Source organism: Homo sapiens, chromosome 4 (genome assembly GCF_000001405.40).
Source record: "Homo sapiens chromosome 4, GRCh38.p14 Primary Assembly".
NCBI classification, from domain to species: Eukaryota; Metazoa; Chordata; class Mammalia; order Primates; family Hominidae; genus Homo; species Homo sapiens.
Window position 1 is genome coordinate 157,795,493 of NC_000004.12, and position 25,258 is coordinate 157,820,750.

At 35.7% G+C, this 25,258-nt stretch overlaps 1 long non-coding RNA gene across 1 annotated transcript in view, besides 2 other annotated features; it reads right to left on the bottom strand.

Annotated features, from left to right (window-relative positions):
• Window positions 1–7,937: 7,937 nt before the first annotated feature.
• The window catches only part of LOC105377509 (uncharacterized), a 227,163-nt gene continuing 209,842 nt past the window's right edge, over window positions 7,938–25,258 (bottom strand). The window contains exons 5-6 of the long non-coding RNA XR_007058347.1: window positions 9,759–9,850; window positions 7,938–8,209 (exon numbers count right to left, since the gene is read on the bottom strand). This is a non-coding gene — a long non-coding RNA (uncharacterized LOC105377509). The remainder of the gene's footprint in view (window positions 8,210–9,758; window positions 9,851–25,258) is intronic.
• Window positions 9,605–9,899: a silencer, noted in NCBI's record as "tiled region #11014; HepG2 Repressive DNase matched - State 8:EnhW". NCBI's record gives its function as "represses a minimal TATA promoter and a strong SV40 promoter by Sharpr-MPRA in HepG2 cells {active_cell/tissue: HepG2}" and the evidence as "EXISTENCE:reporter gene assay evidence [ECO:0000049][PMID:27701403]".
• Window positions 23,337–24,156: an enhancer, noted in NCBI's record as "H3K4me1 hESC enhancer chr4:158739981-158740800 (GRCh37/hg19 assembly coordinates)". NCBI's record gives its function as "activates a minimal SCP1, AML or CMV promoter by ChIP-STARR-seq in naive H9 embryonic stem cells {active_cell/tissue: H9 hESC(naive)}" and the evidence as "EXISTENCE:reporter gene assay evidence [ECO:0000049][PMID:30033119]".

Consider the following 25,258-nt stretch of genomic DNA (forward strand, 5'->3'; position numbering starts at 1 on the left):
ATTTTTGGAGAATTAAAATAATGCAAGATAAATCTCTTTTATGTCTGATGAACAATATTATTGCTCTATTTGCATTTTGGATTATAGATGGAAAAGAAAACTATGTATTTGCCTAAGACTTTCCAAAGAGTAAATGAAGAGCCAAGAATAAAATGTCTTTTATTCATGATTCCAAATCTCTTTCTTCCTCTGCTTGACAAGATGACAAGCCTCCTTCTAGACCAATTATGTAACTCTCATCAATTCAAATAAGCAATAGTCTAAGAATGCATATACACTACAAATTTAAAATGCATTATTCCAAAACTTGTATTTTTCATTTTTTGGAAATAACTTATTGGTAAAAATTCACAGAAAATAATGCAACATATTAGACTTTTCTGAATAACCAAACGATTCCAGATGTATAAACACAGCCTTGATTAAAGAGCACACCCCGAAATTCAAACTTTCATTGCTTTTAAATAATCTTTCTGGCAATAAACGTTATGCAAATATAGGCAATGAGGAAAAGTCACTTCTGAAAACTGCTGTGTGCATTTAAGTAAAGAGCTATTGAATGCAGAAATGTGCTTTCCTGATTCTACTAAATGATTTCTTTCTAGAAACTACAAAGTCAGGATGCTGATACACTTAAGAACATTGATTACAATTCAAAGCAAACTGAGATAGCAAGTGAAATTTTATACAGATTTTACAGATCATAATTTAATGATTCACAGACACTTTAAAACATATTTTTGGACTTGCCTCACTTTTTCTAAAAGTTCCTAATTCTAGAGAATGAGCTCCTTCTTCCTGTTTCCTTGTGTACTAAATCGCTATTCAGGCTTCTCTTTATTCATCAAAGATAAACAGATGGACTCCCCAACGGGGAAGCTGCTTTGAAAATTGAAGCCCCATGGGAAGAATTTCCTATATGAACCTTAAAAAAATTGAGTTGCCTCCACCGAAGAAATTATGATGTGTATGTGCTCCCCAGTTTTGCAATCTCGGTTCAAAGAGCTATGTTTGGCTTTTGAGTAATCATTCTAGTAAGAAAAATCTGCATCTGAAAAATACATTCCATTTCTTCTTTTCTAGGCTAGAAAAACCTCACTGCCCCCCACCCCCACAAAATGCAATGATTCATTCATTGACTATGTCCCCACAGTGGAAGTCAGGTTCCTTTGGGGCCCAGACAGGTAAAGAAGATAAGAGAAGCAGAAAGGTATAATCCTTCAGAGGTGGTGGTTACTGTGGTAATCTGCCCAAAACCATTCACATTTGGAAAATAAAATAATAATGGTCAACCAGTATGTGATCTACTAAAAAGCTTAATTTAAAATTGTAGATAAAATAGATACAAATAAACTTCCAATTTTTTTTTCAAATCCCAGTGTATCATCTCCATCTCCCCACCATGTGAGGACCCCACTTTGGCAAAACTCTGCTCCAGACTTCCTCCGTAGGCTAAATACGTTTCTTATGACTTCTTCTTCCTCTGAGTAAGACATTCTGTCTTTGGACTCTCTACAGCAAAGGGATACATGAGACTTATACAAGCAATTTTAGGTATAGTCCCCAGACAACATAACAAAATTTGAAAATCAATGTTTTACTTTAGGCCACTGACCCAAGCAATGATTTTTCTTTTTATTGCCCGCAAATTCAAGGATTTTTGAGCACTATAGCATCTATGTTAGACACTGTGACCATATAACCCAAAACCACCTCGTTTTTTTCCACTCATTTTCTCTCACTTCCTTCTCTTTATTTCCTTTATTCCTTGCATCTTTTTTACTAAGAAGAGAAAGTCATATTTACTAAATTTTCATTTTTCTATATGGTATTTGATTATGGAAAAGTAAACACATACTGATCCTTATGTTTAATATAACATAAACACAAATATATTTAGGGTTTTTATGTCTTGTTTATAGAATATAGATTTTGTATTCTTTAATTTCTTAAAGTTTTTGTCTTATTTTCCAATGTATTAAAACATTTGAATACTAAGAAAATATTCCAGGAACTTGTTCTTTTTCTATTTTAAAAAAAGTTTTCTGTCAACTCTATTAAGCCATATTTTATACACAATAAAGTGCATGCATTTTAAGCATACATATTGATTGCTTTTGACACTGGATACAACACAATCAAGAAACAGAACATGTCCCTTGAGCCCTTTTGCAGTAAGTATCCCTATGTTGCAACCCTGGCTCCAGTAAACAATGATCTTCTTTCTGTCACTAAAGATTAGACTTACATGTTATAGAATTTCATACAATTGAATTTCAATACTGTATACTCATTTGCATCAGGCTTCTTTCTCTCAGCAAAACATTTTTATGCGTGTTGAGATATATGCATGTTGCATGTATCAGAAGTTTATTCTCTTTTTATTTATAAATAATATTCCATTATATGCACCACAATATATTTATCCATTGCATGTACAACAGTTTGTTTATATATTCACTTGATAGATATTTGCCCTGTTTCCATTTTGGAACTAATATGAATAAAGCACTTAATCCATCCACCTGTTGGTTTCCAGTTCTGGGCTGAAACACTTGTGCAAACACATATTGTCATCTCTATTGGATAAATACTTAGGAGTGGAATGGATGGATCACATGGCAAGCATAGATCACCGATTGTTTTCCATCCTGGCTGTACCACGTTACCATCCACCAGGAACGTATGAGAGTCACAGTTGTGCCATATACTCTCCAATACTTGCTATTGTCAGTCTTTTTAATTGCAACTATTCTATTAGCTGTGTACTGGTATCCTATAATAGCTATACTTTATAGTCCCTAGTAAACAATGATATTGAGTATCAATTATGTATATAACAACATATGCATTATTTCACCTACAAAGTTAGTGATATGGTTTGGCTCTGTGTCCCCACCCAAATCTCATCTCGAATTGTAATCCCAACATGTCAGGAGAGGGGCTTGGTGGGAGGTAACTGAATCATGGGGGTGGACTATCCCCTTGCTGTGCTCGTGATAGTGAGTGAGTTAGCACAAGATCTGGTTGTTTGAAAGTGTCTGGCACTTCTCCCTCTACTCTCTCTCTTTCCTGATCTGCCATGGTAAAGACATGCTTGCTTCTCCTTCTTCTGCCTTGATTGTAAGTTTCCTGAGGCTCTCCAGTCATGCAGAACTACGAGTCAATTAAATCTCTTTTCTTTATAAATTACCCAGTCTCAGATAGTTCTTAATAAAAGTGTGAGCAGTGTGAGAGTGGACTAACACAGTTAGAAAGTGTAATCTTAAACTAGTAACTTACAGATATCAGTGCCAAAAAGGCTTCAACTTTTTACCATTTTTTCATGACAAAATTTAATACAGAATATATTAATCCTTTTGTATAAATTATTTAGAGATTTATCCATTTTGATAATTTGTCTTTCCAATAATTTTAAAATTTTCTCTAATTTGTCAAAACTATTGACATAGTTACTCATAATATTTTCTTAGAGTCTTGTTAATAGCTGCAAGATCTGAAGTAATGCTCTTTCTTGTCTTTTTGATACTAATAATTTGTATTTTCACTCTTTTGTTTTTACCAGTCTAACCAGAAATTTATTTTAAGCTTTTAAAAAATTATTTGGCATAACTGACTTCATTATTTACTTGTTTTCTATTTCATTAATTTCTACACTCACCTTTTCATTTCTTTTTTGTTGTTTTGTCTGTTTCTTTTTATCTTATTTCTTTATTCCAGTAACTTCGAATTTGATTTTTCTTTTCTTTGTCTCATTTCTTTAGATGTCAATATAGAATATTGTAGACCTTTCTTTTTCTCTAATATAATCATTTAAAGCCTTAAATGTCCCTCTAAGCATTGTTTTAGCTATATCTTACAAATTTGACATTGTATGTTTTTCTTTTATTCAATTCAAAATACTTCATACTATCTTTGTGAATCTCCCTTGACTTGTGATTATTTAGAAGTATACTGATTAATGTTAGAGTATTTGGGAATTTTCTAGATACCTTTCTGCTGTTAATTTAAAATTAAATTTTATCACATATAGAATATAATTTCTATTATGTGCAGAACATAATTTGTACAGTTTCAGTCTTTTAACTTTCTTAAAACATGTTTTACAGAACAGTACAGGGTCCATCTTGGTGGGTGGACCGTCTGCAATTGAGAAGAATGTATATTCTTCTGTTGCTGAATAGAAAATTCCACAAATATCAATTAACTTACATCGATCAAACCTTCTTTACTTTTATTGATTTTTAACATTGACTTGTTCTGCCAATTACTGAGAGAGAATTGTTGAATCTCCACAAATAACTGTGTATTTTTAATGGTGTTTTCAGTACAGTCACCTTTTGCTTCATGCATTTTGAAGTTCTATTATTAGGGGCATACACAATTAGGGATACATAGATACATGCTGAAAATATATATGAATTTTATATTTTTTAACTAACCTATATGTGCCTTGATATTTGAAACATGTATCTTGTGGCCAGCATATAATTGGGTCTTGCAATTTTATCCAGCATGGAAATCTCTTCCTTTTAATTGCAGCCTTTATTCCATTTTCCTTCATCTAATTTACAGATATCATTGAGATTAAAGCTATTACTTTGTTATTTGTTGTGTATTTATACCTCTGCTATTTTTCCTCTTTCCCTCTCTTTTTGACATCTTGATAGCTTTTTATATTCCATTTTATTTTCTCTGATTCACTATAACAATCACTTTGTTTCATTTTTAGCTGTTGTTCTAGGGTTTTAGGATTTGTCCATCTTTAACTTGTCACATTGACTTCAAATAATGTTATACAACTTCACATGTAATATATTAAAAGTTACATATAATTACATCTCCTATTTGTGCTTTTGTTTTTATACATGTTATACATGTTACAAACTTCACAATACACTCTATTATTTTTGTTTTAAAGAGTCATTTTTTATAAAGATTAAAAATAAAAAAATGACTCAATGTTATTTTTAGTAACATATTCACCAATCACAACACTATTACTTTCAGTAAATCCAAGTTTCCATCTGGAATCATTGTCCTTACACCTGAAGAGTTCTATTTATTGTTGTCTGAAGTAAAAGTCTGCTAGTGACAACTTCTGCATTTGTTTGTTTTAAAAATCTTCTTTTGGTCTTTATTTTTGAAGTACATTTTTGCAGAGTATGGAACTCTAGATCGATATTTTTTTTCTTTTAACAGTTTGAAGATGTTATTTTTTAAAAAAATTCTTTAGTTTTAGGGCTACAGGTAGTTTTTGGTTACATGGATGAGTTCTTTAGGGTAAATTCTGTGATTTTAGTGCACCCATCAAACACGCAGTGTATGCTGTATCCAATATGTCGTCTTTTATCCCTCACTCTCCCCAATTCTCCCACTGAGTCCCCAACGTCCATTATATTGCTCTGTATGTTTTTGCATCCTCATAAGGTAGCTACCGATTGTAAGGAGAACATACAGTATTTGGATTTCCATTCCTGAGTTACTTCACTTAGAATAATGGCTTCCAGTTCCATCCAAGTTTCTGCCAAATACATTATTTTGTTCCTTTTTATGGCCGAATAGTATTCTATGGTATAAATATACCACATTTTTTTATCCACCCATTGGTCAATGGGCACTTAGGTTAGTTCCGTACCTTTGCAATTGCAAATTGTGTTGCTATAAACATGCATGTGCATGTGTCTTTTACATATAATGACTTCTTTTCCTTTGTGTTGATACCCAGTAATGGAATTGCTGGATGAAATGGTAGATTTACTTTTAGTCCCTTGAGGAATCTCCATACTGCTTTCCATAGTGATTGTACTAATTTACATTCCTACCAGCAGTGTGAAAATGTTCCCTATTTACCACATCCATACCAATATCTATTGTTTATTGACTCTTTAGTTATGGCCATTCTTGCAGGAGTAAGGTGGTATCTCATTATGGTTTAATTTGCATTTCCCTGATAATTAGTGAGGTTGAGCATTTTTTCATATGTTTGTTGGCTGTTTGTATATTTTCTTTTGAGAAACGTCTATTCGTGCCCTTTGCCCACTTTTTGATAGGATTGTTTTTGTTTTTTCTTGCTGATTTGTTTGAGTCCCTTGTAGATGCTAGATACTAGTCCTTTGTCAGATGTCAGATGCACAGCTTGTGAATATTTTCTCCCACTCTGTGGTTGTCTGTTTACTCTGCTGACTATCTGCTGTGCAGAAGCTTTTTAGTTTAATTAGATACTACTTATTTTTGTTTTTCTTGCATTTGCTTTTGGGGTCTTAGTCATGAAGTCTTTCCCTAAGCCAATGTCCAGAAGAGTTTTTCCAATGTTATCTTCTAGGATGTTTATGGTTTCAGGTCTCAGATTTAAGTCTTTGATGCATCTTGAGTTTATTTTTTCATAAGATGAGAGATGAGGATAGAGTTTCATTCTCCCACATGTGGCTTGCCAACTATCCCTGCACCATTTGTTGAATAGTGTGTCCTTTCCCACTTATATTTTTGTATGCTTTGTTGAAGATCAGTTGGCTGTAAGTATTTGGCTTTATTTCTGGGTTCTCTACTCTGTTCCATTGGTCTATGTGCCTACTTTTATACTAGTACCATGCTGTTTGGGTACCTATAGCCTGGTAATATAATTTAAAGTTCAGTAATGTGATGCTTCAAGGTTTGTTCTTTTTGGTTAGTATTTCTTTGGCTATATGTACTCTTTTTCTGGTCCCATATGAATTTTAAGATTGTTTTTTCTAGTTTTGTGAAGAATGATGGTAGTATTTTGATGGGAATTGCATTGAATCTGCAGATTGCTTTGGCCAGTATGGTTATTTTCACAATATTGATTCTTCCCATCCATAAGCATGGTATGTGTTTTCTTTTGTGTCATGTGTGATTTCTCTTAGCAGTGTTCCATGGTTTTCTGAAGATGTTATTTAATTATTTTCTGTCATAGGTTATCTTTTTCCTTCTCTAAATAATTTGCATTTTATATTCTGACTTGTGTAAGAGATTTTCATTCATTGCTAGTATTTAATAATTTGATTATGATGTGCTTATAGCTTTTTCTGTTTTTGCTTTTGAGAATTGGTGGGGTTGTTTTTTTGTCTGTTTGCTGTTTAGCTCAACTGAAATTCATTGAGCTTCTACAAAGTGAGTATATGTTGTATTTACCAATTTTGGAATAATTTAGGCTAGAATTTCTTTAACCTTTTTCTGGTCCCTCATTTTCTTTCCAGGACTCCAGTGATACATACATTGGACTGTTTCATATCATTACAAGTAATTGAGACACTGAGGCAGTATAAAAAGTTAAGGAGACACTGTTCATATTTTCTTGGTCTTTTCTGTCCCCATAAGAAAGTCAGTTTAGAAAAATTTGAGATCCATGTCTTCAAGTTTATCTATCTTATCTTCTACAGTGTCTTGCCTAGTGTATCTTTAACTTCATATAGTGCCTAAGTTAAATAAAAATCTAGATGTTCTATTTGGTCCTTTTATATATCTTTAATTCCTCTCATCATTATTATTTTCATGTTTTTCTTTAAACAGTCAAGCATATTTATCATAGTTGTTTACAAAGTCCTGTTTATTAATTCTATTATTGTTATCATCTTGGGATCTGTTTCTATTCACTAAATTTTCTCCCGTTTATGGGTCATGTTTTTCCATGTTCTCAATAGTAATTCTTGATTGAATGTTAGATATTGTGTATTTTACTTTTTCTATCACTCTTTAAGGAAAGTTGGATTTTAATCCGCTAATGTATGTTATTTCTGGATCAGCTTGGTTCTCTTAAGGCTTGTTTTAAGTTCTGCTAACAAGTCTAGAGTAGCTATTATTCTAAGGCTAGTTTAGACATGAGTTAATGATCCATATTTAGATATTTACTATGGCAGCACCTCACTTCCAGGTTGTTATTTATTGCAGCATAACAAATTATCCCAGAACATAGAAGCTTAAAAACGCAGAGATATTTATTATCTGACAATGTCTGTGGGAAAGGAACCTGGGCACAAATTTCCCCGGCTCTCTGTTTCTCCTAAGGCTGTAATCCAACTGTCATCAGAGCTCTAGCCATTTCAAAGATTGAAGGTGAGAGGATCCTCTTTCCAGATGACTCCAGTGGTTCATCACAAGATTTAGTTGCTTATGAGTTGTTGTTGGCTGGAGATCTCCCTCAGTGTCTTGCCACATGGTTCTCTTCATAATGCAGCTCACAATACGGCAGCTAGATTCCATCAGAACAAGTCAGCAAGAGAGAAGGCAAGTAAAATGTAAACCAGCATTGTTTTGTTTTCTAATATAATCTCAAAAGTAACATCTCATCACATTTGCTGTATTCTATTCTCTACAAACAAGTTCTATGTCCCACTAGCACTTGATGGGAAAATATTACAAAAGTTCATGAATATTAAGAGGTCTGAATCATTGGAAGCATCTCAGAAACTGCTTACAACACTTAACAACAGTTACTAAGGAGTAACTGTCATTAGGTATCTACAGGATACCCTTGATGTTCAGATGAAGACTTGGCAGTCTGAGTGGTCAGACTTCAACATTACCCAGTGAGCTCTGGGAATTGTTTGGTACACAACTCCTACATTATTTTTTTGCCTGACCTCATGGAGTTAATCCCCACATAAATTTTGCTTAATATTTAGCAACAGCCTCAAGGAGATCCTTATATGGATTTCTGGAGCTCTGCAGAGCTCCCTTCTCTCTGACATTAAATCCTCTAAACTGTAGCCAGATCTGCCTCCCCCTGCTCTGCTCTGTTTTTCATTAGTGAGACCCTTATGTTCTGTTTTGTATTCCCATCCCACACTGTGTTCTAGAGAGTGCCTCCAGGCAGAGAGCAAGGGCAATTGTAGGCCTCTCCTCATTTGTTTCCCTTATCTCACAGGTCATAGTTCACACTGACTGTTGTCCCACTTTTGGACACAGATGTGTTATCTATTATGCTTAGTTTTCTAGATATTTATGGGCAGATGGCAAGTCTAGTCCCAATTACTGAAACACGACCACAGCAGAAACTCATCCAGGGATTCTGAGCCAGCTTTATTCTTCTTCAGCTGCTCTATATAGTATATTGGAATACCTTTTCTTAAATACAAATGATAGCCCTATATAAACAAATAATAAAATAAGGCTTAAACAAGTAATAAAATAAGGCTTAGAAGTGGAAATGAAACTAAATTAATGAAGTATAATTACCCTCCCAAAGTGATTTTTATAGCATTTCTTAATATAACTAGGTAGTGTTAAAATATACTTTTTATTTACAAAAAAACTTTTAGGAGTATGCATTCTATTTTAAAACAGAATATGTGTCCATCCCACTATAATTTATTTAAAATTCTTATTAACAAAAAAGTTTAGGGCTCCAAATTATTACTGTTGTCTATCTTTGTACACTTTAAAATCCTAACGATGTCTTCTGCAGGGGTTTGTCCCCATGTGTCACTTTATGGTAGTAGTATTTTCAAAGGTTACAAATGAAAAGTTCATCAGATTAATAATAGCTGATGCTGTACTCTGCTAAACTTCCCAATATTATCTTTTTACTGTTATACATTTATCACATGGTTATCTATAATGTTTGAGACATTTGAAGCTAATTAAGCAAAATTTCCCTTTGCATTTATTTGTTACTTGCTGTTGTGTCTAAGAGAACACTCATAGCCCTCTTTCCTCTGCTCCCTCTTGAGGCTGCAAGAAGAACACAGGCCTGCTTGTTCTGAGTTTCTGTGAAGTGAACAGACATTGCAGACACTCACCTGGTTATTCTAGTTTCTACACTGCTGATGGCACAGAGCAAATATTCCTCCTAGGTACATGTTTGATGTGTAGACAAATTCAGCCTTAATACCTATGCAGGAAGAGGATAGTGACTACAGAGAAACCCTGACAGAAGAATGAAAATTGCACATTCACTCTTTCATCCCCTTACCCTCACTCAGGCTAAGCCTAGGCAAAAAGTTCTAAAAAGTACAAAGGTAATCGGACCCACCAAGCTGTACTCATGAAGGCCTCACAATATATATTTCACATAGTTTTACTGGAAAGATCTGATATTAGGTACTTATAGTAATTTTAACATTGTTTTGTGTTCCTTTTAAATAATGGGTAAAGGAAAGGAAGATAAGTACTAGGAATAAAATTATACTGTACGTGCTTCTCAAATGATATTTGTATCGGACAAATGGTATCTGTGCTGGACATTGTCAGTAGCCCAATATAACCACCTTTTTTGTTGTTGTTCACATGGCTCCTTCTCTCTGCTGCCTCTGTGTTTTCTCACCCATATTATATGCAGGTGGGAGTTTTCTAAAATGTAGCTTTTTGGCGAGAAAGCTAATTTTCAGTTTGGATCTAAGCTGAAAATAGTTCCCCAATTGCCCTGAAGTTATCACTGTCAGGTTATTTCTAATGTAGTATTTTTCAGCATGCTCCTGGGCTAGCACTCCTGAAGGCTTAACTGCATAGTCTGTTTTTACTCATTGTCTAGAAGGCTAATGGAGTCTGTTGGTATAATCTTCAAGAAAAGTCAGAGTATCCAATTAGTAAAGGTGAAAAGCTTAGCAAAGTTTTCTCACTGATTAAAAATAAGTACTATGTTCGGAAACTTGTTTTTGTTAATAAATTATTATTCAGTTATTAATAAAGATAATACCTCTAGTAAATTAGTTGAGTTCAACCAGTAAAGCTATAATGCTAAATAGAACCTGTGCATCTGTGTTCTCATTGTGACTTGCAAATGGAAATGTTTGCATATTTTACATATTTCAACCTTTTAGTATTCCAAAATGGAATATTAAAAAAATCTGCTGCACAGAATTGGGCAACTGTGTTTGACAGTGAGTAGCTAATCCTGCCTACTCTGAGAGTTATTGAATTCTCTGCTCAATGCGGTGGGAGCACACAGCTGCTTCTGTTGTTTCTCTTTCCACAGCACAGCAATGAATTTAAACATGACAGTGGCATTTGAATATTAAAGCATATCCATTCCTCTCCTGACTAAAATTGAAGCACTAGCAAATATGTAATGCCGCCTGACTTAATCAATTTTAATTTAATTAACATATCATTATTCAAACTGGAAATTATTTGTTTTCAAAGATAGAGTCGAATCATCCTTTATAAATCATTTTTAAATAAAATTTGGACTAACAATTTCTAGTTCTACATAGAAACCTGGGATAGTAGAACTTAAATAAGCTTTTTGGTTTAGATAATTTGAAAAACAAACATCAACAAAATATTGTTGCCCAATGAATACTGCTAAATTTCCAAATTTATCTGGAAGTTTTAAGAATATATCAATAGCCCAAATGAAAAATAAAATTACCTTTGGAAATATCATAATGGAAATCTAAAGAGGCTAATTTCCCCATGAAGAATTTCTTACTCATCTTGTTATTTCAGTCAGAATGTTAGCAAGAAAAAGATAGAATAAAAGTTTATAAAAATTCATTTTTGCATCAGTTTGGTAAATAATGAAAAAATAATATTTATTTTTCTCAAAGTAAGTATTAGTAGGTGGCATTAAAATATATTATAAACTGTTTCTTTTTAATAGAATAGGAGATCTCTATATTGTGCTGGTATAGTGACACTCATATAATAATTTAATCTGCTTCCAAATGTATTCAGATATTTGCTGGTAGTTCTCTATGCAACATAATGGGCAATTTTAATGATTTGTTTTAACCTGAGTTAACCAGTGTTTTTGTTTGGGGCTCTACTATAAGAATCCTTGTGTTCAAAATATGAAGAAGCCATCAAAAAGTAATGCCTAACTAATTTATGCTATTGTGAGGCAGTGATTATTCTAGCTCATACATTCTAGAATAAACATCTACAAATGATCCTGGACTGCCTTGTTCCTATCACCCCCTATTTATAGTTTCCATGTTGCAGAACTTCGTGATTCGATATACTTGGGCTTTTTCAATATATGAATCTAGGCTTTCTCAGCTATTTCCCACATTCATGAATAATTAATCTGCATTATTATTTCTTTCTAGCAGAGTACCTTGAGGCTGGCTAATTAGTTTATTTAATTATCATTATTTTTATTTGTGTCCTGCCTTGTTCCTAAAAGGAAATAAACTGGTTTGTAAAGATGCATATGATACAGCAAGATAAACTAGATTTTTGAAAGAGAATGTTGGGAAAAGGAGGCAGTGAGAAGTAAAAGAAAGCGATATGAAGCCAGGAGTTTAGCTTGAAAAAATAATTTCTCAAAACAGTTTAACTTGGTGAAAGTGACTCCCAAATATGGTTCTAAGTTTGTTAAATACCTACAAAGGTAGGAAAACAACTAGAGAGGGAGTTGGGCTGTTAATTGACTGAGTATTTATCCCAAAAGAGACCATGTAATTTGGGAGAATTTGAAACATGTTTTTTTTTTATTTATTTTTTTTATTATACTTTAAGTTTTAGGGTACATGTGCACATTGCGCAGGTTAGTTACATATGTATACATGTGCCATGCTGGTGTGCTGCACCCACTAACTCGTCATCTAGCATTAGGTATATCTCCCAATGCTTCCCCTCCCCCCTCCCCCCACCCCACCACAGTCCCCAGAGTGTGATATTCCCCTTCCTGTGACCATGTGATCTCATTGTTCAATTCCCACCTATGAGTGAGAATATGCGGTGTTCGGTTTTTTATTCTTGCGATAGTTTACTGAGAAACATGTTTTATAGAAAAGTTTAAGTCATTCTTCTACAACTTAACACAAACTAGATTATGCTCTCTCAGTTAAGTTTCTTGCATTTCTAGGTTAGTAATATGTTCATTTTCAACCCTGTCACGTTATTTTCTTAATAAATCTAGAAAATGCATACTATTAAACCAGAGTTAAGTACTTAACAAATAACTTATTGTAACATATTTGAAGTTTCTAAGAGTATAAAGGCATCAATTACTGTCAGTGTCTCCAGTGAGGTATCATTTACAATGCTATATAGGTACTGTGTCTTAGTCATCTCAGGCTTCTGTAATAAAATACTATGCAGGCTGAAAGTCTGATTTAGGGTGCTAGTATGGTCAGGTTTTGGTAAAGAGGGCTCACTTCCTGGCTGGCAGATGGCTTCCTTCTCACTGTATCTTCACATTGGGGAGAAAGACAGAGGAGGGTGGAGGTGGAGCATGAGCATGCAAGCTGTCTTGCGTCTCTTCTCATAAGGGCACTAATTCTCATTATAATGGCCTCACTCTTGTGACCTGATTAAGTCTAATTTTCTTCCCAAGACCTCATCTCCAGATGTCAAGACATTGGGGCTTAGGGCTTCTCATGAAATTTTGTGAAGTGTTGAGGGGAATAATTCTGTCCATGGCATACCCTCATATCCTTAGCAAAAAGATACAGAAATCGATGCATTTATTTATTGTTAATGAAAAGAAGGAAGGAGACTAAAAGTTGACAAGAAAGATGAAAGGAAGTTCAATATTGGGACGCTGCAGCACACACACATAATCACCTGGGAGCCTGACTGCTGTGTGTATGCCCAGGTGAAGGCTGCCAAGGGACTACTCAAGTCAGTCCGTGTGCAAAAAAGGCAGCTCCAAGCACACTAGTCAAAGCCCATCGTGCCTTTAAGACATCTCAGGAGCACGCTGTGACCCATTTTATAAAGTACAGCATTAGTTCCAGCAGTATCAAAATGAATGTTTGGCTAGTCTCCAGATTCTCAAAGAAGACATACAGGAATTTTAACACTGCCATTTTAGGAAGTCTGTTCTGTGTCTTGAATAAACTAGGAAAATCTTTTTGGGAAGCAGTCAGGAAATCTTGTGAGTCACACTGCACTATCATCTCATATAAATTTTCTATTATTTTTTCCATGATATTGTGGAATATCGAGTATGCTTTTTATATAACACCTATTTGAAAAGAGAAATATCCTAGGTATACCACATTCAGATAATGGAAGTTAAGTTCAAGAGTCATTTCATAAAGTGGGAAATTCACTTAGTTAGGAATCTAGATTCCAAATTCCAGTCCCTCTTTTGCCACTAAATAGTTGTGTGACAATGGCCAGTCACTTAACCTGAAAAGCGTACATTTCTCCATCTTTTCAATGGAGCTATAATAACTCTTCTTTTTTCTTCTCTACCTTTTTATATGAATACTCAATAGGAAAATGTGAGTAAAAATCTAATAAAACCAGGAGGTTGTAAATAGGTGCAAGGTGTGGGTTTCTTTCTTCCTTTTTATTATTACGCTACCTTGAAATGCCCTGATGACTCTAAAACCAGGAGAGATTTGGGGAAAATATAGGTACAAGTCAGAAACAGAATGTAGATATATCAAAGACAAGCTGAGTGTGATTTAAATGGTTTTGGATGACTTTAGTTTCTTTCTGTTTTAGGGGTCACTAGAACGTACTTTCACTCCTAGGGATTCTAGCTCTTTCAGAAGGGGACACACCATGATGATTTCCGGTGTTCTTCCTTTTTACAAATAAGAAAACACATCTATAGCAGATGCCCTGATATCTTGAAATCAGCACCCTTAAAACTAAAAGTTTGCCTGTCTCTGGCTCTCTCTTCCTCCAATGACTATAGTTGTAGCCATCAGAGCATGAGCACGTCCACTACTTCTTATCCCAAAGCCACTGACCAAATAGAGTTTATGATTTAGAATTGTTTAGGCTTATAAAAAGGTATATATTGCATAAATTGTCTAATGCATGCACATTCTAGCCCTCTTCTCTCAAGGAGTGGATGTAGCATCTCATGGCCTAATATATTAATATTTTGGCAGCAAATCAAACAAATGCCCACATGTGTGATGAATAAACACTAGAAATAGCCTCACATCAGTTCAGGTTAGTGTTTGCACTCAGATAAGTTCAAGTCAGGACAGGTTTTGCAGACAAAAGTATTTAAAAGGTTTTAGTGTTTAGCTGTTTGGACTTTAGAACTGCTGGTGAGAGATTATATAGATCTGTAGAAGACTCAGGCTCACTTTTTACACTCAGCAACAAATCCAGAAATCTTGCCAACTTTTCCAAGGTGGAAAAAACATATCACCACTGGGGTTTCATACCCACTTCTCAAGTCTGTGCTTGATGTTAATTTTTCACAGATTGGTCATTAATTTATTTAATTTAGAAAGGCCCTTAGAGATCACTTGTGGAAATATCTTTATTTTCCTAATAATAAACTGAGGCTCTGAGAATTTAGGTGAGGCTGTGTGTACAAAGAGTCAAAGCATAAACTTTTGAGTCAATCAGCTAGACCTGTCTTCAAATTCTGCCTCTCCTTCTTGCTGGTAATATAAACCTGAGCAAGTTATTTCATTTTCTTATCCTTAATGTCCTCATCTGTAACACAGAGTTATAATACCTTGTTCACAGGCTTGCCCATTCACTACTAAATGCTTACTGAGTACCTCTGTAGTGACAGGCACTATTCTAAGCACTGGGGATACATCAGGATTGTTTTGAGGTTTAAGTGTCATAGTGTATTTGAAGAACTTAGTAACATGGCTGGCACCTTAAATTTCAGTAATTGCTATTATTATTATCTAGTGGAAGAGTTATGAGAAAATTATTAGCTCTATGGGACAACAACCTATGTATTCTTTAAGAAAAAATGAGGAGAAGTGGACATAAAAGAACACAGTCTATTTTGTCCAAGCCAATATGCCCCAGAAATAATGTTGGATTTGCAAAGCTTCTAGTGATCCTCTGGTTCGTGTTCGGGAGTTGTCTAGATTTATATTGACATAAAATATCCCAGTCTTGAAAAATGTCCCAGCTAAAGGGTTGGAATCTCACAGAATAAGTTACAGGCTACCCATGTTCTTTGCGTTGTTAGTTAGGATCATCCTTTAGACACATAAATAATCCTTAGTCTTTTATCTCACAGTTACATGAACTAAAATGTTATTAGCCAAATGGGAACATAGCTATTTCTAGTAATGACCAGTATTCCACTACTTTCAAAACTGCAAAGATGTAATTACATTTTCTTGGTAGAGAAACATAACGCAAATATTTGTAGCTAATGAAATACAAGTTTACTTGTCAGAATAGCATTTCCAGCATCAATAAATTGTCAGCAACTTACATATTTTTTCAGTTTCAGTGTTATATTGATTGAATCAGCAAGATAATATTACTGCTGTATTTGAAATTAAATGTCTCTTCATTACATTTTTTGCCTTTACTGGATTTTTAAATATCTTAATGCTTTATTATATAGAACAGTGCTATTTTAGTTTTAAGTTTATGAAAAACAGGTATGATAAACCAAAAGTATTTCTTTCTCCAGAAAGCATAGTGAATACATGTTTTTTTCCCCACTGGACCTTTTCTGTAATTGAATGCTGATTGTGAAATTTTAAAGCATGTAGGAGAAAACTGACAGTCATCATAGTAGAAATGTTCCCTGCTTTGACTCAAATTATAAAAATAAATGGATAAAAATGAAAGCATTTTTTTGTAATATAAAATAATGATATATCGGTAAGAGGAGTAGGAACAAGATGGTCAAATAGAACCCTCCAGCTATTGTCCCTACCACAGGAACACCAAATTGAACAACTATCAATTCGAGAAAGCACTTTCATAAGAATAAAAAAATAAAAATCAGGTGAGCAATCACAGTACCTGGTTTTAACATAGCAAAGACAGAAGCATTGAAGAGGGTAGAAAGGGCGGTCTTGCTGTATTAGGCCATTCTTGCATTGTTATGAAAAATACCTGAGACTGGGTAATTTATAACAAGAGGTTTAATTAGCTCATGGTTCTGCAGGCTTTACAGAAAGCATGGTGATGGCATCTGCTTGGCTTTTAGGGAGGCCTCAGGAAGCTTTCAATCATGGCAGAAGTCAAAAGGGGAGCAGGCACATTACAAGGCAAAAGCAGGCACAAGTGAGAGAGAGTCGGGGGGAGGTGCCACATACCTTTAAATAATCAGATCTCATGAGAACTCACTATCACAAAGACAGCACCAAGCTATGAGAGATCTGCCTCCATGATCCAAACACCTCCCACCAGAACCCACCTCCAGCATTGGGTATTACAATTCAACATGAGATTTGGGCAGAGACAAATATCCAAACTATACCCCTTGCATTGCCTACATCATGTCTCCCCCAATTCCAGGAAGTGCAGTGAAAAGAGAGAATCCCTGTATTTGCAAGAGAGAGAGTGGAGTGAGTGTGTTCCTTTGCATTGGAACTCAGTCCCATCTTGTCACAGGGGGACACAACACAAGGCAGAATATTGCCAATATCATCCAAGGGAGCATTTGGACCAGTCCTAGGCCAGAGGGGAGTCCTCCACTCCAGTAGGAGGAACCCAAGTCCTGGCCTGCTTCACTACTGGCTGACTGAAGTGGAATACATTTGAATGGCAGTCAAGCCACAGTTGACTGCAGTCCTTGGGCAGGCCCTGGAGCTACTCTGCTGTCAGAGACAATGGGCTAAGGGTGTGACCCAGGGTGACAACAGCTGCAGCAACCATAAGGATGCCTGTGTCACCCCTTCCCAAACTTCAGGCAGTACAGCATGGAGGAGACTCCTTCTGCCTAGGGAAAGGAGAGAGAAGAGTACAGATGAATTTGTCTTGCAACTTGGGTACCAGCTCAGCCACACTAAAATAAAGCACCAACATACCAAAAATTAAGAATATTTTAATCTGCCAAGAATAAACAATCTGAAAAATAAAGCCAAAATGTAACTCCATTTAATAGCTACGAATAAAACAAAATGCCTAGAAATAAACTTAACCAAAGAAGTGAAAGATTTCTACAATGAAAACTATAAAACATTGATGAAAGAAATTGAAAAGGACACAAAAAATTGGAAAGATATCACACGTTCATGAATTAGAAAATCAATATGGTTAAAATGTCTATACTACCCAAAGCAATCTACAGATTCAATGTAATCCTTATCAAAATAACAATGACTTTCTTCACAGAAATAGAAAAATAGGATTTCATATAAATCCTAACATTTATATGAAAACACAAAAGACCTTGACTGGTGAAACCATTTCTGAGCAAGAAGAAAGCTGATGACATCATATTACCTGACTTCAAATTATACTACAAAGCTAAAGTAACCAAAACAGCATGGTACTGGCATAAAAACAGACATAGACCAATGAAACCGAATACAGAATCCAGAAATAAACTCATGTATTTACAGTCAACTCACTTTTGAAAAAGGTGCCAAGGACATACATTGATGAAAGAACAGTCTCTTCAATAAATGGTGCTAGAAAAACTGGATATTCATATGCAAAAGAATGAAATTAAACTCTTATCTCTCACCATATACAAAACCCCAGTCAAAATTGAATAAAGATTTAAATGTAAGTCCTGAACTATGAAACCACTTGAAGATAACATTGAGGAAATGCTCCAGAATATTGGTCTGGGAAAAGACTTGAGTAAGACCTCAAAGCAGACAACCAAAGCAAAAGTGAACAATGAAATTATATTAAACAAAAGAACTTTTGCACATCAAAAACAAACAAACAATAAACAATGAAGAGACAACCCACCAAATGGGAAAAATATTGCAAAATACCCCCCTCACAAGGGATTAATAACCAAAATATAGAAGGAGATCAAATAACTTAATAGGAAAAAATGCAAATTATCCAATTTTTTGAATCAACAAAAAATATGAATAGACATTTTTCAAAAGATATACAAATGACTAACATGTTTATGAAAATATCCTCAACATCACAAATTATCAGAGAAATATAAATCAAACCACAATGAGATATTATCCCATTCCAGTTAAAACGGCTTTCATCAAAAAGATAAGCAATTCAGTAAATGAATGAACAAAAAAACAAATACTGCATATTCTCACTTATTAGTGGGAGCTAAATATTGGATACACATGGACATAAAGATGGCAACAATAGACAATGGGGAATACTAGAGAGGGGAGGGAGGGAGGGGGACAAGAGTTGAAAAACTCACTATTGGGTACTATGCTCAGTACCTGGGTGACAGGATCAATCATACCCCAAACCTCAGCATCACACAGTATATCCATGTAACAAACTTGCACATGTACCTCCCGAATCTAAAATAAAAGTTAAAATTATTTTTTAAAAAACAGACAATAATAGATTATGGGGAAGATGTGGGAAAAGGCAAATCCTCCTACACTATTGGAGGGGGATTGTAAATTAGTACAGCCACTACAAAAAAACAGTATGGAAGATCTCAAAAAACTCAAAATTGAACTACCATATGATCCAGCAATTCCACTATTGGGTGTATATCTAAAAGAGTGGAAACTAGTATATCAAATAGGTATCTGTCCTCACTCTCCTGTTTATTACAGCAATATTTATAATAGTCAAGATATGGAATGCACCTAAGAATCTATCAATGGATGAATGAATAAAGAAACCATTATATATATAACATATTTCTTCATATATGTATATATGTGTGTGTTTGATATGATATATTTGATATATAATATATATGATATATAATACGTGATATATAATTGATATTATCTATATATATAAAATATTACTGAGAATATTGCCTACGGAGACAACAGCCAGGTTTTATCACAGGATGAAATTGTGAGTGCAGACAAAGCTGCCAAGACACATTTTTTCTTAGAGACATTACCCTACAAATATGAAACAAGACTGGAAGATAAGGGGACTCAGCTCTCAGGAGGTCAAAAAACAGAGGATTGCTATTGCCTGATCCCTCATCAGATAACCTCAAATCCTACAGTTGGATAAAGCTACATATCAGCTCTGGATACTGAAAGCGGAAAAGTCGTACAAGAAGTCCTGGTTAAAGCTAGAGAACGTCGCGCCTGCAGCGTGATCACTCATCACCTCACCACCTGTCCACCATTCAGAGCACAGACTTAATAGTGGTATTTTAGGATGGAAAAGTCAAGGAGCACGGCATGCATCAACAGCTCCTGGTACAGAAAAGCATCTGCTTTTCAATGGTCAGTGTCCAGACTGGGACACAGAACTTATGAACAGAACATATATATGTGATACACGGTATATGTGATATATCACATATATATGTGTGATATGTATGATGTATGTGATATATCATATATCTCATATATTGGAATATAGATATTCCAATTAATTACCTTGATTTGATTATTACACATCATAGGCTTGTTTCAAAATTTCACATGTACCCCATAAATATGTACAGCTATTATGTATCCATAAAAATTAAAAATAAAAAATAAGATAAAATAAGATAAGGTGACAAAGGAAAAAATAATAATACGTTTAACATTCTGAGTAGAGAGAATGAAATATCTAAGTAGTAGGATTATGGCTTCTTAAAGTAAAATAGCATCCAATCAATTATTTTAACAATTTTTGGGGAAAATGACATAAACTAGTCAATTAATGTTAAATAAATTATTCAAATTCCTACTGAGAAAATACATTATTATATGACTGATATATAATCACTAATCCATTTTTAGACCTTATTTTAAAGAAGCTTCAGTCTTTATATATTTTTAAGATAATGCTTTTGAGGCACAGGTATTTGACAGAAGGGAAGTAAACCACCTTTATTTTCAAAATCCTCTAATAAAGTACCTGTTCTGAGTTTATTCTTGTTTCAGGATTGAGCAAATGACATGTTTCTTCAGAAAATTTTGCCAAAGTTTTCAAAAATGGCAGAAATTATCACCCCAGGATTTAGAAATTTTGACAGCACATAGACCACAGGTTTTCAAAGATGAAAAGTTATAAAATTAGTTTGCAAAGGGATTCTCAAGTAACAAGGAGTGCTCAGCAGGAAAAAAAGAAAGTATAAGTGAAAATGTTTTCCCTTGGTCTTGTCTTTGACACACAGCATTCTGTATTGTCTGTGACAAAGCATTAGGACTAGAAATTTCTATATCCACGAGAAACAGTAGCAAACTACTGCAATACCCACTCCTCTGGCCTGCTACATGAGGCTGCATCCAGAGTAGATTTTAATTACAACTACTAATTCCATGTTGCTTTACCTAATGTGAGTCTATACAAGGAGGTGTAATCTAAATCAAATGCAGTAAGTGATGACCTCAGAAACCCAAACAGATGGTTATTTATCAAGGACTATATAAAATTTCTAAAAATAAGTGTTGATTAATATTAAGGAAAGTCTGCAAGTCTCTTTTATTGTGATTTCCCAATTTGAATATGTGTGCTACTTTTTATGATGTAAAAATGTCATAAAATAGTTTGAGAATAATAACTTCCTTTTGTTTCCACTTTGCTAATGGTAGTGGTGGTAGTGGTGAGAGAAGGTAGATGGATGAAGAAACCTAGAGTTTTTATACTAAATGATGTTCTTTACTGGTTTAGATAAACTTCCCCAAATGAACTTTTAAATATTTATTACAAATTAGGGGTTTTCTTTTTGATGACATAGAGTACTTTGAGTGTGAAAATTGAACTGTCAGTATTACTCTCTGCCTTACATATTTGTTATACTTAATAGAGTTGCGTAAAGCTATATAAATAGCTCTTCAGTTACTCTTGAAAATCAAATGGTTTGAACTAGGAATAGAGTCAACATTCTTATAATACATTCATATTCTGCAGCCTCAAAGAATACAATTTAAGATTTTATGACATTTTGCCTCAATGTACAATGTCATCTTGTCGAAGATATCCACAAACTATGATGTAAATGTACCTCTAATTTTTCTTTTTCAATACATACTGCAATCTCAGACCAGCCACACTCAGAAAACCACAACACAGGAGAAATTGTTTACTCCTTAAGAAGAAATAATTTGTAACATTAACAGGATACAGTAGGAAATAAGAGTGAACCACACTCATTAATATACAAACATCTTGAGATGCATAACTATCAGCAGCACCAGATTATAAATGACAGAAGCAAAATATTATTTTCTAAAGATTTGAAAGGAAAGTAGGGCTGAGAGAAGGAAAGAATCATCTTTCATGCCTGCTCGGTGATACTTACAGGCCAGAGGAAAAATAAACCAATCTGTCTCCAAGGATCAGAACCCTGCATGAAGACCTAATTAGAATCCAGGTGACAGCACTGAAGGTGAATAATGGATTAAAGAACAGAAATGTAACAGTCATTTTTACTGCGGTATTTTATTTTCCCTTGAGAGCTTACACCGATGGATTAGAAAGGACATGGCTCCACTTTTAATATAGTCTAATAGTCTGGTCTGGAAGTTATGAAGTTATTTCAGGCAGTCACTTGCAAATTATTCTTATCACTGGAAAGATAGGTGTAACCTAAAGTCTGGAAATTGTTAAAAAAACATAATTTGTACTTGAATATAAAATGTGTTAATGCACTAGACTTAAAAAGATAAAAATGACTTTTTATGCGCTCACTACAAATAAAATGAAAAAGGTAAGTGCTAAGCACAGATTAAAAGTGATCTTGGAAGTTCGCTCTAACTCCTTTCTCTAGGTTCTTAAAATTAAATACTATTAGAAAATGGTCAACTGAGTTTATGATGCTATTACTCCAGCATAGTTTAAAAGAGCTTCACTCCTTAAACAAATCCAAGTATGAAACAGTCAAATGCTTACATTTCTGAGGATATATCCCCCATCCAAAAAGTAGAAATACAGTCTGAGATGTTAACCAAAGATATAATTTAATGTAGTAATTAACTATAACAAAAGTCATAGACTTGTGACTACATGAAAGAAAAATATGGAATAAAGATTAAGAAGATTGTTCTAGATGATGCTGATAAATGAGAATTAAAATCTGTGTTAGATGGCTACAGACTTCAGATATAGTCTAGACTAAAAGTTCTCAACCTTTGCTGCACATTAAAAGTACCTGAGAAGCTTTAATATTGATGACTAGGTCACACATTAGGGTATCTGAAGATGGAAACCTGCTGTTAGTATTTATTAAAAAGCCTCCAGGCAGTGGTAATATGCATCTTGATTTGAGAACTACTGGGCTAGACCAAGAATCCCTCTTTAACTGAATTCTAGAGATGTATCATTGTTTCTAACTGAACCAACAGTGTAAAAGCTATAGTTTATATGATTAGTCTTACATTTGAGGAAGAAATTACATAACATTTCTTCCAATCCTAACCGTTTTATCGTCTTTATGTGATTAATAAGCCTGACACATTTAGAATTCTTTGCACAAATGGGTAACAAGCATATAAAGCGTTTAAAAAACCTCCACCTCACGGGTAATCAATTACTTGTAAATTGAAACAAGTTGTTTTTCTACCTATAAAACTTCCAACATTATTACCGAAATGGTTATATGTAGTAGTTTGCAGCCTTCAGAAAATATCACTGAATTCAAAGAGCAGTTTAAAAAAATAACATGGGGGAGGGGGGCAAGATGGCTGATTAGATAAAGCCAGGTGGAACCGCTCCGTCCCAGGGACCAAGAGGACTGCTGTGCTCCTAACAGATCTTCAGAGGGAAGGCACTGAGAGTGGATGGAGGGAAGACACAGAAGCTGGGCTGAAGAAGGAGAAAGCTTGGAACCCTACACGGGGCTGCAGCACACTGGGACTCATTCCTGACCCCCAACAGCTCCAGGAGAAGGAGTGGAGTTGAGTAGTTAAGGAGCAGCTCGCTGTCGTCCCCAGCCTCTGGAAGCTCAGCAGGTGGAAACTCCTTGCTCACCAGGGACACTGGAGTTGGCCGGGAGACCTGCTTAGAGAAGTGGTGGGTGCAGCAAGCCAACAGATGTCGAGCCCAGAGGGTTTGATGCGGGAGCGTTGGTAGCAGAGCAAAGCTGGGGTTGGTCGTCCCCCTAGGCTCCACTTGCTCTCATAGGAGACTTTAGCCCTAAGGGACCTGTCAGACCTGATTTCTGCCGGGCAGTCTTGCCCATCGGGCAGGGATGGTCCAACCTGAGAACACTTTGGTCTGCTGGCCTCTCCTGGTGCTCCAGCCTGGCCACGCCTGCTTGCAGGGCAGCCGCAGGTGCCCTGGGGGTCCTCACCATAGCTTCTGCACTGGTGGACCGTGCCTGACTGGCGGAGAGCTCCAGCAGGGTGTCCCCTGTGGCCACGCACCAGCCGTCACGCTCCCTCTCCACACTGCAGCTTCCTTCTGCCTCACGGCAACTCCCCACTTCACACTGCTAGTACGTGTCTGCCAGGTGTCTGCCAGGTGAGTTCTGCTTCTGTTGCCCTGCCAGCACACAGGAGTTCAATCCACCTCCGATAGCCCCACTGACTGCCATTACAGACCGAGCCTTGTCGGGTACAAAGCCAGCCAGCCCCATTCCTGCCCGCAACCCGCTCTTGCACTAACACTGTACAGAGAACAGCAGCAGATCAGCCTCCACCCTAAGTGACTACTCCTGCTTACAGGGCACAGAGAAAGCACCCAGATCTGGACTCGCCAGCGCCCCGCCTTGGAGCCAACACCACCTCAAGTGCGACATTGCACATAGCCGCAGGCATGCTCCCTCCCGCACCTCGCGGCACCCACAACTGAGTTGCCTCCACCACTGAGGTGAATGCCCACAGGGAGGCAGGCATCCTGGCAGGCTAGCATTCTGTTGTGCTGCTGCAACTGCTGCTGCTGGCACGTGTGAATGAGGACAGATCCTGCTGTCACTGCTTTATTAAATGCTTCGGCTGACACCATGCATCAGAGTGGTCCAGGGGCACCTGGGCCCCCTGCAGCACTGTTCCCCGCAGCACCGTGGATTCCTAACCTCGAGCAGCCAGAGAAAAAAGTCGGCATCCAATATGGGTCCTCCAGAATTAGAGCACGCAGTCCAGGAGTTTGGAGCTGAGGCTGGCTCTCTACAATCTTCCAGAAATGAAGCCAGTTGGCTGAATTCATCTAATACCACAATCAAGCCCTCAAGGTCATCAAGCAGGATTAAAAAAAAAAAAAAAAAAAAAAACCAAAGATCAGAAACTTGAAAGACTGAAGGTCGATAAGCTCACAAAGAAAAAAATCAACACAATAACACTGACAAGCCAGAGTGCCTTCTTTCCTCCAAATGAGGCACAACAATTTAAGCAAAGTCTCATGTTACAAAATTAATGTGAAAAAATCACTAGCATTGCTATATACTAACAGTCAAGCCGAGACCCAGATCAAGTATATAATCCCATTCAAAATGTCCACACACAAAAATAAAACAAATATACCTAGGAATACAGCTAACAAAGGAGGAGAAAACTCTCTACAAGAACTAGAAAACACTGCCCAAAGAAATCAGAGATGACACAAACAAACGGAAAAACATTCCATGCTCATGGATAGAAAGAATCATTATCATTAA